This window comes from Homo sapiens, chromosome 21, assembly GCF_000001405.40.
Source record: "Homo sapiens chromosome 21, GRCh38.p14 Primary Assembly".
NCBI lineage: Eukaryota > Metazoa > Chordata > Mammalia > Primates > Hominidae > Homo > Homo sapiens.
The window spans coordinates 42877322-42890319 of record NC_000021.9 but is presented as its reverse complement, the minus strand read 5'-3'; the positions used below and the strand labels follow the sequence as shown (position 1 = coordinate 42890319).

The 12998-nt window shown below is 46.6% G+C and overlaps 1 protein-coding gene and 1 long non-coding RNA gene across 15 annotated transcripts in view, besides 6 other annotated features; one reads left to right on the top strand and one right to left on the bottom strand.

Moving 5' to 3' along the window:
- WDR4 (WDR4 tRNA N7-guanosine methyltransferase non-catalytic subunit) overlaps positions 1–12998 on the top strand; it is a 49905-nt gene that overhangs the window by 2679 nt on the left and 34228 nt on the right. For 6 of the 12 annotated variants that reach the window (XM_017028264.2, NM_033661.5, NM_001260475.2 and 3 more), the window contains exon 1: positions 10781–10913. The exons of 1 other annotated variant lie outside the window; for it this stretch is intronic. In XM_017028264.2, coding sequence (XP_016883753.1) covers positions 10825–10913 — 89 coding nt within the window. In that variant the 5' untranslated portion in view covers positions 10781–10824. 12 annotated transcript variants of the gene reach the window in all.
- On the bottom strand, positions 2588–10608 carry LOC105372817 (uncharacterized). 3 transcript variants are annotated; one of them, XR_937765.3, is made up of 4 exons: positions 10565–10608; positions 6525–6714; positions 3361–3519; positions 2588–2952 (listed from the first exon to the last, which is right to left on the bottom strand). It is a non-coding gene; the product is annotated as an uncharacterized LOC105372817 (long non-coding RNA). The 3 variants fall into 3 exon arrangements; XR_007067880.1 differs by lacking the exons at positions 2588–2952; positions 3361–3519 and having other exon boundaries at positions 6495–6714; positions 10455–10608; XR_937764.3 differs by lacking the exons at positions 2588–2952; positions 3361–3519 and having other exon boundaries at positions 6495–6714.
- Positions 10529–10878: an enhancer, noted in NCBI's record as "active region_18535". NCBI's record gives its function as "activates an Ori minimal core promoter by ATAC-STARR-seq in GM12878 lymphoblastoid cells {active_cell/tissue: GM12878}" and the evidence as "EXISTENCE:reporter gene assay evidence [ECO:0000049][PMID:35858748]".
- Positions 10529–11755: a biological region, named in NCBI's record as "NANOG-H3K27ac-H3K4me1 hESC enhancer GRCh37_chr21:44298675-44299639".
- Positions 10791–11755: an enhancer, noted in NCBI's record as "NANOG-H3K27ac-H3K4me1 hESC enhancer chr21:44298675-44299639 (GRCh37/hg19 assembly coordinates)". NCBI's record gives its function as "activates a minimal SCP1, AML or CMV promoter by ChIP-STARR-seq in naive H9 embryonic stem cells {active_cell/tissue: H9 hESC(naive)}" and the evidence as "EXISTENCE:reporter gene assay evidence [ECO:0000049][PMID:30033119]".
- Positions 10949–11058: an enhancer, noted in NCBI's record as "active region_18534". NCBI's record gives its function as "activates an Ori minimal core promoter by ATAC-STARR-seq in GM12878 lymphoblastoid cells {active_cell/tissue: GM12878}" and the evidence as "EXISTENCE:reporter gene assay evidence [ECO:0000049][PMID:35858748]".
- Positions 11089–11138: an enhancer, noted in NCBI's record as "active region_18533". NCBI's record gives its function as "activates an Ori minimal core promoter by ATAC-STARR-seq in GM12878 lymphoblastoid cells {active_cell/tissue: GM12878}" and the evidence as "EXISTENCE:reporter gene assay evidence [ECO:0000049][PMID:35858748]".
- Positions 11756–12719: an enhancer, noted in NCBI's record as "H3K27ac-H3K4me1 hESC enhancer chr21:44297711-44298674 (GRCh37/hg19 assembly coordinates)". NCBI's record gives its function as "activates a minimal SCP1, AML or CMV promoter by ChIP-STARR-seq in primed H9 embryonic stem cells {active_cell/tissue: H9 hESC(primed)}" and the evidence as "EXISTENCE:reporter gene assay evidence [ECO:0000049][PMID:30033119]".

Below are 12998 nucleotides of genomic sequence, written 5' to 3'. Positions count from 1 at the left end.
TTGTGATCCCCCACCTCGGCCTCCTAAAGTGCTGGGATTTACAGTCGTGAGCCACCGTGCCTGGCCGAACTTCTTTTTAGGATAACTGGATTACAACAGGATCACTTGGATCCATACTCTGAACATTTAACTCCAAGGTGTTTGGGCCAAAGAGGAAAATAAAAATACTCAAATATCACACCATTCGCATGCATGCCTCAGCTCTGTATTCTGGTATATATAATATATATATTTTTTTCTTTTAGGTTCTTACTCTGTCACCCAGGCTGGAGTGCAGTGGCTTGGTTATAGCTCACTACAGTTTCAAACTCCAGGGCTCAAGCAATCTTCCCACCTCGGCCTCCTAAAGCACTAGGTTACAGGCACAAGCCATTGCACATGGGCCTAAAATTGTGTTTTAAAACACAAGTAATAAGTTCTATTTCTGGCAATATTTGGTCACTAGATATTATGGAAAACTGGCCGGGAGCTGTGAACCCAGGAGGCCGAGGTTGCAGTGAGCTGAGATGGTGCCAATGCACTCCAGACTGGGCAGCAGAACGAAACTCCTTCTCGAATTAAAAAGAAAAAAAGTTATGGAAAACCCTTGGGCTCCAAATCATGTAGTAATTCTGGGTAAAAGGTTACAGGCATAATTTCAAATGACCATATAATCAAGTAAAGGATATCTCTAGGGATCCAAAAAAAACAGAGAAGTAGCAAGAAATCACAGGCAGCAGTGCCACCCTGGAAGCATGCACTGGTCTCAGCAGCCAGAGCTCTGGTGTAACAGACTTCAGAGAACATGAGACCTTGGGGCTAGAACACTTGGGAGTGGGCTGGAAATCGCCAGAGGAAGTTGCCACCCTTGCAGGGCTACATGTCAGTGATGGGTGACCCTGGGCAAAGCAATCTGCTAGCAAGGAAATGTGTAGAGCCAGCCTGGGTTTTGAGTGGGGAAAAATGTCTCAAGGCCTATTCTTACTTAAGTTTGAAGTTAAAAAACACATATACTTCCTGTGTTTCAGGACATCTCAAGTTTTAAAAAACCAAAAATTGGCCAGGCGCAGTGGCTCAAGTCTGTAATCGCAGCACTTTGGGAGGCCGAGGTTGGCGGATCTTCTGAGGTCAGGAGTTTGAGACCAGCCTGGCCAACATGGTGAAACCCCGTCTCTACTAAAAATACAAAAATTAGCTGGGCATGGTGGCATATACCTGTAATCTCAGCTACTCGGGAGGCTGAGGCAGGAGAATTGCTTGAACAATTTCAATCTATATATATATAGATTGAACCCTAGATTAAATAAAGATCAGATGCAATCAAAGATAAATTTAGAGGCTGGGCATAGTGGCTCATGCCTGTAGTCTCAGCACTTTGGGAGGCCAAGGCGGGCAGATCACCTGAGGTATGGAGTTCGAGACCAGCCTGGCCAACGTGGTGAAACCCTGTCGCTACTAAAAATACAACAAAAATTAGCTGGGTGTGGTGGTGGGCACCTGTAATCCCAGCTACTCGGGAGGCAGAGGCAGGAGAATTGCTTGAATCCAGGAGGCAGAGGTTGCAGTGAGCTGAGATCACTCTACTGCACTCCATCCTGGGTGACAGAGCAAGACTCTGTCTCTAAAAAAAAAAAAAAAAAATTATAAACCTTTATACTGTATATTTATTGTGAGCTCAAATACTTCAAAATTTGGCCAGTGTGATAGATAGGGTTTTCCAGAAAAAAAAAAACCAATAGGAAACACATATGTATGATATTTATTGATTTATTTATTTATTGGAGACAGGGTCTCACTCTGTCACCCAGGCTGGAGTGCAGTGGCTCTATCTCGGCTCACTGCATCCTTGACTTTCTCAGGCTCAGGTGATTCTCCTACTTCAGCCTCTCAAGTAGCTGGGACTACAGGTGCACAGTACCACACCTGGCTAATTTTTGTATTTTTTGTAGAGACAGGGTTTCACCATGTTGCCTAGGCTGGTCTGGAACTGTTGAGCTCAAGTAGTACACCGGCCTTGGCCTCCCAAAGTGCTGAGATTACAGGGGTGAGCCACTGTGCCTGGCTGATATTCATAATATAGATACTTATATCTATATCTAGCTCTCTATGTATCTATCTATGTTCGCTCAGTTGACACTTGTAGGGCATAGATGGGTTTGAGCTATGTGGGTCCACTTATATGTAGCTTTTTTCAACAAATATATTGAAAAATTTTTTGTAGGAATGAAATAATTTGTCAAAACTAGGATGAACCACATAGCCTAGAAATACTGAAAAATTAAGAAAATGGTATGTCATGAATGCATAAAATATATGTAGATACTAATTTTATCATTTACTACCTAAAATATACTCAAATTGATGATAAAATATTAAAATTTATAAAAACTTTTTTTGTTTTTGTTTTTGTTTTTTTTTTGACACGGAGTCTTGCTTTGTCACTCAGGCTGGAGTGCAGTAGCACGATCTTGGCTCACTCACTGCAACCTCTGCTACCCGGGCTCAAGCAGTTCTCCTGCCTCAGCCTCCCGAGTAACTCGGATTACAGGCACACGCCACCACGCCCGGCTAAGTTTTGTATTTTTAGTAGAGACAGGGTTTCACCATGTTGGCCAGGCTGGTAAATTTATTAAAACTTTTATACAGAAACAGAGACCACACATGGCAGCATTCACAGTTGAGAGAAACGTAAATGTAAAGATGCAGTATTCAATCACAACTGCATAAAACTAATGTTAGCACATACCTCACTACTGGAATCTTTCACAACCACCTCCTGTTGCTACTGTGGTGAGCTCAAGTGCTCTAAGTATCTACTTAAAATGCCGTGTGACACGAGACATTTCCTCGTGAGCAGTTAAGTCGCTCCAAATTGCATATTGCAGTAACAAGTAGAGGCTGGGTCCAGATGTGGTGGCTCATGCCTGTAATTTCTGCACTTTAGGAGGCTGAGGCAGGAGGATTGCTTGAGCCCTGGAGTTTGAGACCAGATTGGGCAATAGTGAGACTCTGCCTCTTTATAAAATAAAAAAAAAAAAAAAAAAAATTAGGCCAGGCGCCGTGGCCCACACCTGTAATCCCAGAACTTTGGGAGGCCAAGGTGGGCGGATCACCTGAGGTTGGGAGTTCTAGACCAGCCTGACCAACACGGAGAAACCCCGTCTCTACTAAAAATACAAAATTAGCCGGGCATGGTGGTGCTTGCCTGTAATCCCAGCTACTCGGGAGGCTGAGGCAGGAGAATCACTTGAACTCAGAAGGCAGAGGTTGCAGTGACTCGAGATTGCGCCATTGCACTCCAGCCTGGGCAACAAGAGTGAAACTCCGTCTAAAAATAAAATCAAATCAAATAAAAAGTAGTGGTGGGGCATGAAGGCTCACCTGTTGGAAGCTGGGCCCTCTGTGGGCTTGTCCAGCAGGAGCAGGAGCCGTTCAGGAAACACATCCTACCAGTGAATGAACACCCTTGTTTCTCTTCCCTTTCTGCTCACCAGGCTTTCAGTGGGCTGGGGCTATTGGCTATCCCCGGCCAGGAGGCTGCTGGTTTATAAAAAGTTAAGACTTACTAAAACTACACATATAGACACTTACAGACCACACATGATACCATTAGCATTAAAAAGAAATGTAAACAAATGTAAAGCTCGGCGGGCAATGACCCAAAGGCTGAGAAGCACAGCCTGCAGGGGCTCCCCGCTCCTCCCCAAAAGGCTGGGAATATATCTGGGGGCACAGGCCTTACGCTGGCAAAGTGGTGGGCAAACTGGCAGTGTTTGCTAGCAAAGCCCATGGAACATCTAGAAACATCATTGAAATGAATTCAAGAATTCAGCAAAACTGCTGGACGTGTGAACAATTTACAAAAGTCAATTGTATTTCTAGACACCAACAACAAACACAAAATTTTAAAAGGATCCCATGTACACTAGCAAAATCGCCTATTTTTTTGCTAAAAATAAAATTTAAAATTTTGTGCATACGCTTTCTGAATAAGATGATAATATTTTATTGTAAGACATTAATAAATCAAGAGGAAAAGGTGCTCCTAAATATTGTAAACGTGAATGTTCTTAAAAAAAATCTAGGCTGGGCACGGTGGCTCATGCCTGTAATCCCAGCACTTTGGGAGGCCAAGGCGGTGGGATTGCCTGACGTCAGGAGTTCGAGACCAGCCTGGCCAACATGGCAAAACCCTGTCTCTACTAAAAATACAAAAATTAGCTGGGCTTGGTGGCACATGCCTGTAGTCCCAGCTACTCGGGAGGCTGAGACAGGAGAATCGCCTGAACCCAGCAGGTGGAGGTTGCAGTGAGCCGAGATGATGCCACTGTACTCCAGCCTGGGTGACAGAGCAAGACTGTCTCAAAAAAAAAAAAAAAAAAAATCTATGCTGAGGTGGGAGGATTGCCTGAAGCTGGGGATTTGGCACTAGCCTGGGCAACAGAACAAGACCCCCGTCTCTACAAAAAACTTAAAAGTTAATGGGTCATGGTCATGTACACCTGTAGTCCCAGCCACTCAGGAGACCAAGATGGGACAATCCACTTGAGCCGAGGAGGTCAAGGCTGCAGTGAGCTGTGATTGTATTACTGTACTCCAGCCTGGGGAACAGCCTGGGGACAGATTTAATATATATAAAATACATTCAATTACATTCTAATCAATATCCTAGCAGGGATTTTGGGGGAAATTGATAACCTAATTTATATCTATCTATCTATATATTTTTTTTTGATGGAGTTTTGCGCTTTTTGCCCAGGCTGGAGTGCAATGGTGCGATCTCAGCTCACTGCAACCTCTGCCTCCTGGGTTCAGTGGTTCTCCTGCCTCAGCCTCCAGAGTAGCTGGGATTACAGGCACGTGCCACCATGCCCGGCTAATTTTGTATTTTTAGTAGAGATGGGGTTTCACCATGTTGGCCAGGCTGGTCTCGAACTCCTGACCTTAGGTGGTCTGCCTGCCTCGGCTTCCCAAAGTGCTAGGATTACAGGCATGAGCCACCGTGCCAGGCCCTAATTATAACATTTATATGGAAGTAATAAAGGGCTATGAATACCCAAGGCTTTCTTGGAGGAGGAAGAAGAGAGGAGGAGAAGGGGGAAAATGTGAGGAAAAAAGGGTGAAGACTTGCCCTAGAAGTTATTACATCTTAATACGCTGCTAGGGTGATTAGGTCTGTGTGGTATTTATTCATGGAGAGACAATTTGACAGTAGAATATAACAGTTCAATGAGAGACCCACACCTATTTAGAAACATAATATGTGTCCAGATGCGTTGGTTCACGCCTGTAATCCCAGCAATTTGGGAAGCCAAGGCGGGCGGATCACTTGAAGTCAGGCATTCGAGACCAGCCTGGCCAACATGGTGAAACCCCGTCTCTATCAAAAATACAAAAATTAGCTGGGTGTGGTGGCATGTGCCTATAATCCCAGCTACTTGGGAGGCTGAGGCAGGAGAATCACTTGAAGCTCAGAGAGGGAGGTTGCAGTGAGCTGGATTGCACCATTGCACTTCAGACTGGGGGACACAGTGAGACTCTGTCGGAAAAAAACAAACAAAAAAGACATAATAACAAGTGATGGTGAGGATGTGGAGAAACTGGAACCACAATGTAGTGCTGGTGGGACTATAAAGTGCTGTAGCCACTTTGTGAATCAGCTTGGCGGTCCCTGAAAAGGACTTTTTTTTTTTTGAGGTGGAGTCTGGCTCTGTTGCCCAGGCTGGAGTGCAATGGCGTGATCTCGGCTCACTGCAACCTCTGCCTCCCGGGTTCAAGTGATTCTCCTGCCTCAGCCTCCTGAGTAGCTGGGATTACAGGTACGCAACACCACGACCAGCTAATTTTTGTATTTTTAGTAGAAGTGGGGTTTCACAATGTTGGTCAGGCTGATTTCGAACTCCTGACCTTGTGATCCACCCACCTCGGCCTCCCAAAGTGCTGGGATTACAGGTGTGATCCATCACCCAGGCTGGAGTGCAGTGGCGCAATCTCAGCTCATTGCAACCTCTACCTCCCAGGTTCAATCCACCACACCTGGCCAGTTCCTGAAAAGTTTAAATGTTACCATATGACTCAACAATTCCATTCCCAGTGGAATGTTCACAACACCATTATTCATTATAGCCAAAAGGTGGGAAATCCCAAACTGCCTATCAACCAATGAGCAGATAAACAAAATGTGATATATGTGATATATGCATTCAGTGGAATATTATTCGGCCATGAAAAGCAGTGAAGTACTGATACATGCTACAATATCCATGAACCTTGGAAACCTAATATTCAGTGACAGAAGCCAGATTATATGAAATGTCCAGACTAGCAAAATCCATAAAACAAAGTAGATTAATGGTTACCAGGGGTTTATGGGGAGGGTGAAAGGGGGAGTGACTGCTACTGGGTTTAAGATTTATTTTGTGGGTGATGAAAATGTTCTAAAATTGTGGTGATGGATGCACAATTCTGTATATATACTAAAACCCACTGAAATGTACACATTACCACATATCAGGTGGATTACAACAGTAAGAATTTATTCTCACAGTTCTGGAGGCCAGAAGTCTGAAGTCAGGGTGTTGGCTGGGCCACGCTCCTTCTGAAAGGTCTAGGGGAGAATTCTTCCTCATCTTTCTCTTGGCTTCTGGTGTTGCCAGCAATCCTTGAATTATGGCCACATAACTTCAATCTCTGTTTCTGTCTTCATCTGGCATTCTCCTCTGTCTTCTCCCTTCTCTTCTCAGTACACATAACATTCGATTTAGGGTCCACCCAAATCCAGGATGCTCTCATTTTGCAATCCTTAACTTAATCACATTAGAAAAGACCCTTTCCCCAAAAAAGGTCACATCCCCAGTTTCCAGGGGTGGACATACATTTTAGGGGGCCACCTTTCAACCCACTACAACCACCATGAAATTAATGGGTCTTTGTCCATTTTTGTTTTTACACAATTTTTTTTTTAACTGAAGGACCATAAGACAATGCTTATGTCGTCTTGCCAGTTTGTAAAAAAAAAAAAAAAAAGGGTAACTTCTTGCCCATTTTTCTTTTTTTTTTTTTTTTTGAGACAGAGTCTCACTCTGTTACTCGGGTTGGAGTGCAGTGGCGCAATCTCGGCTCACTGCAATCTCCACCTCCTCGGTTCAAGTGATTCTCGTACCTCAGCCTCCTGAGTATCTGGGACTACAGGCACGCACCACCACTCCCAGCTGATTTTTCTATTTTTTTTTTTTTTTTTTTGAGACGGAGTCTTGCTCCGTCACCCAGGCTGGAGTGCAGTGGCATGATCTCGGCTTATTGCAACCTCCACCTCCCACGTTCAAGCGGTTGTCCTGCCTCAGCCTCCCAAGTAGCTGGGACTACAGGCGTCCGCCACCATGCCCGGCTAATTTTTGTATTTTTAGTACAGACGGGGTTTCACTATGTTGGCCAGGCTGGTCTCAAACTCCTGACCTCAGATGATCCACCTGCCTTGGCCTCTCAAAGTGCTGGGATTACAGGCGTTAGCCACTGCGCCCAGCCTGATTTTTGTATTTTTAGTAGAGATGGGGTTTCCCCATGTTGGCCAGGCTGGTCTCAAACTTCTGACCTCAATTGATTCTCCTACCTTGGCCTCCCAAAGTGCTGGGATTACAGGTGTGAGTCACCGTGCCTGGCCTTTTTGCCCATTTTTCTATTGTGCTAATGGAAGGATTCTCAGGTTCCTAATACCTTTTGCTCAGGACAGGACTAGAAATACAACACAACAATCCATAAGTTTTTTTTTTCTTTTTTCTGAGATGGAGTTTCACCCTTGTTGCCCAGGCTGGAATGCAATGGGTGATCTTGGCTCACTGTAACCTCCACCTCCTGGGTTCTAGTGATTCTCCTGCCTCAGCCTTCTGAGTAGCTGGGATTACAGGTGCATGCCACCAAGCCCAGCTAATTTTTGTATTTTTAGTAGAGATGGGGTTTCACCGTGTTGGCCAGGCTGGTCTCAAACTCCTGACCTCAGGTGATCTGCTCGCCTTGGCCTCCTAAAGTGTTGGGATTACAGGTGTGAGCCACTGCACCCGGCCAATCCATAAGTTTCTTAATTGAAAAAGAAAGCCCACACTCACTCTAGGCTAATGTAATCAATGATTTATAAAAATGGCCATAGTTGGGCCGGGTGCAGTGGCTCACGCCTGTAATCCCAACACTTTGGGAGGCCGAGGCGGGCAGATCACCTGAGGTCAGGAGTTTGAGACCAGCCTGACTAACATGGATCATGGATCACGCCTGTAATCCCAGCACTTTGGGAGGCCAAGGTAGGAGAATCAATTGAGGTCAGGAGTTTGAGACCAGCCTGGCCAACATGGTGAAACCCCGTCTCTACTAAAAATACAAAATTAGCTGGGCACGGTGGCACATGCCTGTAATTCCAGCTACTTGGGAGGCTGATGCAGAATCGCTTGAACCCGGGAGGCAGAGGTTTTGGTGAGCGGAGATCACGCCATTGCACTCCAGCCTGGGCAACAAGAGTGAAACTCCGCCTCAAAAAAAAAGAAAAAAAGAAAGCCATAGTTTTTATGAGCTTGTTGATCTATATCTAGGACTACAAGGAAGATATGCATGCTACAGACATTTGTACCTAGCAGTAGGTGCTACTGTAACATGTGGCATTAGCTTTGGACTAGAAGTCTGGAAAAGCAGTGGGGAAACTGGTAGTGAACACTGGAACAATGGTGAGGAAAACTACGGGAGGTGGACAAATGGTGAACAACTCTATGTCACGGTGAAGGATTTGTAAAATTGTTGCCCTTCAGTAAGATGGGCAGAGAAAAAGGCAACTACTGAACTCTGGGACTTGAAAAAGATCATATCAGTATAATGTTGAGATTAACCTGTGTTTCTTTTGCTTGAATATGTTGAGACACTTATAGAAAAGAGTGTGGTTAAAAACAAACAAACAAACAAACTGGCCAGCAGAATTTAGAGCACACTTTGGGTTGAAGCTGGGGAAAGTATTATTAGACCCAATAGTTGGTAACAAGTTCTCAAAGTAAGTCATAACCTGGGCCAAAGATCAAATTCAGAGTGGCGCTAATAAAATATGGCCTTAAGAATAATGCTGAAGTCAAGGTGATCTCAATGATTTAAATGTTAACAAGTGGCTGGGCGCGGTGGCTCACGCCTGTAATCCCAGCACTTTGGGAGGCCGAGGCAGGCGGATCACAAGGTCAGGAGATCCAGAACATCCTGGCTAACATGGTGAAACCCCGTCTCCACTGAAAAATACAAAAAATTAGCCAGGCGTGGTGGCGGGCGCCTGTAGTCCCAGCTACTCAGGAGGCTGAGGCAGGAGAATGGCGTGAACTCGGGAGGTGGAGGTTGCACTTCAGCCTGGGCGACAGAGCGAGACTCCGTCTAAAAAAAAAAAAAAGACTAGTGGGAGTGGCTTCTTGGGCATGGAGAGCACCTGAATCAGATTCTTGAGAAGCCCATAAAGCTTTTAAGGGACTTGTAGTGAACAAAGCACCACCAGCTGCCAAAATGTGGACAGAACAGTTTAGAGTGAAAAAAGGTCTGTGGGCTCACAATTTGCTAATGACAGGAAGGAGGTTGAGAAAGTTTCTCAAAGGGCACATTCTTCAACATGGCCAAGAAGGTGCTGGAAAAGGAGGGACACCCAAGAGGGCAGAGGCAAGAGCTGTGCTGAGATACAGCCTGGGGAGATACTCCCAGGAAGCAGAACTCGGGCCTGGTTAAGACTTCTTATTCTTGTAGGGCCTGAAAACATCTTCCAGTAGGATTTCAGAATTGCTTTGGACCAGTGATTACTGTGTCTCCTCCTCTTCTCATTTTCACATGCAAGTATTTATTGTGGTTATCTGGTCCCGGCTCACCATCATATATTGCGTGCACGGGAGAGAAAATTAATCTTTTTAGTTTGTAAGTCTCTGGATCAAGAGGAGCTGCACCGGACAAGCCAATCTAAAACAGACCGTGAGATCCTAGATTTTGTGCCTGATGCTGGGATTGTAAGAGGCTTTTGGGGATCTTGGGATGAACACTGGAAACTAACCATAGTTTGGGTTGAAAATATCACTACAGTTCGGAGATTTTAAGGCATCTGTGGCTTGTCTAAGTGCAAAGATTCAGTAGGCTTACTTCTAGCGACCTCAGACTTGACGCCACCCGAGACACCCTCACCCATGACCACATCTTGGACATTTTTTTTTTTTTTGAGAGAGAGTCTCGCTCTGTCGCCCTGGCTGGAGTGCAGCGGGGGCGATCTCGACTCACTGCAACCTCCGCCTCCCGGGTTCAGGCAATTCTTCTGTCTCAGCCTCCCAAGTAGTTGGGGCTACAGTCGCACGCCACCACGCCCAACAAATTTTTGTACTTTTAGTAGAAACGGGGTTTCACCATATTGGTCAGGCTGCTCTCGAACTGCTGACTTCATGTGAGCCACGGCCCCCGGTTCATTCACTTCTTGAAGGATCATTTACCAGGCATCTAGTAGCCATCATCAGGTCCTACGTCTCTCCAGCTACCGCGGAAAAAGATCCAGAACCAGCCCTACCCCGTCTAGAGGAAAGGATGAACATTAGGCAAGTACTTGGAATCGTGCGAAGTGCACTCCATCAGATCACCTTGGTGAGTGAACTGCCAAACCCGAAACACCGAAGGCCACCAGCCACAACCCGGAGGGCGGTCACAGCACCTTTCACGCATGCTCAAGGCAGGCTCGTCCTTGAGCATGCGCGGTACGTGGGGTATACGTCATCTCTCGGCGTCTGCGCCTGGCGTCACCGACCGGTGCGGACAGGAAGAGGCTCTGGGCTGGCACATGTGTATGGCGGTGAGGCGGGCGGGTACATGGCGGGCTCTGTGGGACTGGCGTTGTGCGGGCAGACGTTGGTGGTGCGGGGCGGCAGCCGATTCCTGGCCACCTCCATAGCAAGCAGGTGAGGGGGCCTTGGTCTTGGAACAGGGAGACCAGGCTGCGGGCGCGCGTCGGGTCCTGGCGACCCCGCTTCTCCCGCACCGCCTGGTCGCACCCACTCTGGGGTGACCCCGGGGAACTCCGCTCCAGCCCACGAGTCCTCCGCCGCAGTCTCGGCCTGGCCGCGTCTCTGCGCCTGGAGGGTCCGCTTTCGCCGTCCGCTCTCGGCGTCCGCTCCCCGGCTCCGGCGCGCTCCTTGCACTAGATGGCTGGTCTGCGGTGTTCTTGCCCGGTTAGCGCCGCCGGGTCGCTTCCGGTCTCCGCGGCGCCGGCGGGGACCGGGTAGGTAGAGCACGTGGGGCGACGCTGACCAGTCAGCAAGGCCCGGCCGAACACGCTCTGCAGAACTGGGAAGAAGCGGGTCTCGGGTCTCCCTGGTGAGAAGGGAGGGGCTTACTCACTGCGAGCTCACTGACCTCCAAGCGCGCTCCCTCTTTTTGCAGGGTTGTCTGTTCCCTCTTCCCGGCCTGCATCCACTCACCTGGCCTTAATTGCTCCTTAGGGCTCCAAGTCATCTCCGACACTTACCCAACCCAAGGGTGCACGTGGAGCTCGCAGTGCGCACCTCCCTAGTGGCCCTTCGCACGGCTCGGGTTTTGCTTTCCGTAATTTTATTCTCCTTCCTTAGTGTATCGCCAGTGCTAGGACGACGCAGGGGATTTTTAACTTAGTAAATGTTTGTTGATGGAACAGTCCTAACTCAGGACTCTCGGAGCAATTAGTAGTGCTGTCAGTTTCAGCCCCTCGTTTCCTTTCCCAGGTTATTTGTGATTTCATATTTGAAACGGACGACGTGTCTGTCAGATATACTGTATATTTTTTGTTCGTTTGGTTTTAGAAAGCCAATTCGATGTTAAGTTAGGTCTCACAAAAATTGTACTCAGAAACCCGTCACATATCCCAGATGATTTTGTTTTAGAGACTCACGGTCTAATATCTGCCAGAGTGAGCTGTGGATATATTAGACATGATTTGCTTACCTTCAGTCTTTGCATTTTGAGGAAATTCTAGTGGCTGGTGGAGTTTCTGACTTGGAAGACAAGTCCACGGTTCCATATGGAAAGTTTTTTGGTGCACTCGCTTTAAAGGCTATAAATATGTACAAGATACGTGCCAGGGGGTGAGGATGGGATAAACCGAAGTTTAGGTTCAGTATGGAAAATGGGTGATTCTTATGTTGGTAAGTGCCTGGGGTCATGGGAACACTTTCAGGTAGGTGAGATATGTTTCTAAATAGTAATGGCTCTTTGAAATTTGTATACAGAATCCCACTGAACGCTCAACAGTATCAGAACATAATTTCTTTTTTTTCTTTTTTTTTTTTTTTGAGGAGTCTCGCTTTGTCGCCCAGGCTGGAGTGCAGTGGCGCGATCTTGGCTCACTGCAAGCTCCGCCTCCCGGGTTCACGCCATTCTCCTGCCTCAGCCTCCCGAGTAGTTGGGACTGCAGGCGCCTGCCACCATGCCTGGCTAATTTTTTATATTTTTAGTGGAGATGGGGGTTTCACTGTGTTAGCCAGGCTGGTCTCGATCTCCTGACCTCGTGATCCGCCCATCTCGGCCTCCCAAAGTGCTGGGATTACAGGCGTGAACCACCGCGCCCGGCCCGTAATTTCTTATAACCATGTCGCATAGATTTTGTGGTGCCTAAAAGAATAGCATATTAATTCCTGTTGAGTATTTATCCCTCATTTGTTTTACTGAACTTTTTTTTCCCACAGAACTATGCAGTATGACGTACTCCAATAAGAGATTAAGCAAATAAAGTTTGTTAACTGTTCCCTGAAATATTGTATCTAGACAGTTTTCTTGTCAAGTATACAACTTTTAATTTAATGAGTGTGCAAATATTTTTTGTTCCACAGAGAAAAAAAATCAACTTTTTTTTTTTTTTTTTAACAAAGTGCTCTTTTAAAAATCATTGTTAGGCTGGGCGCAGTGGCTCTGCCTATAATCTCAGCACTTTGGGAGGCTGAGGCGGGCAGATCATCTGAGGTCAGGAGCTTGAGACCAGCCTGGCCAACATGGCGAAACCCCGTCTCTACCAA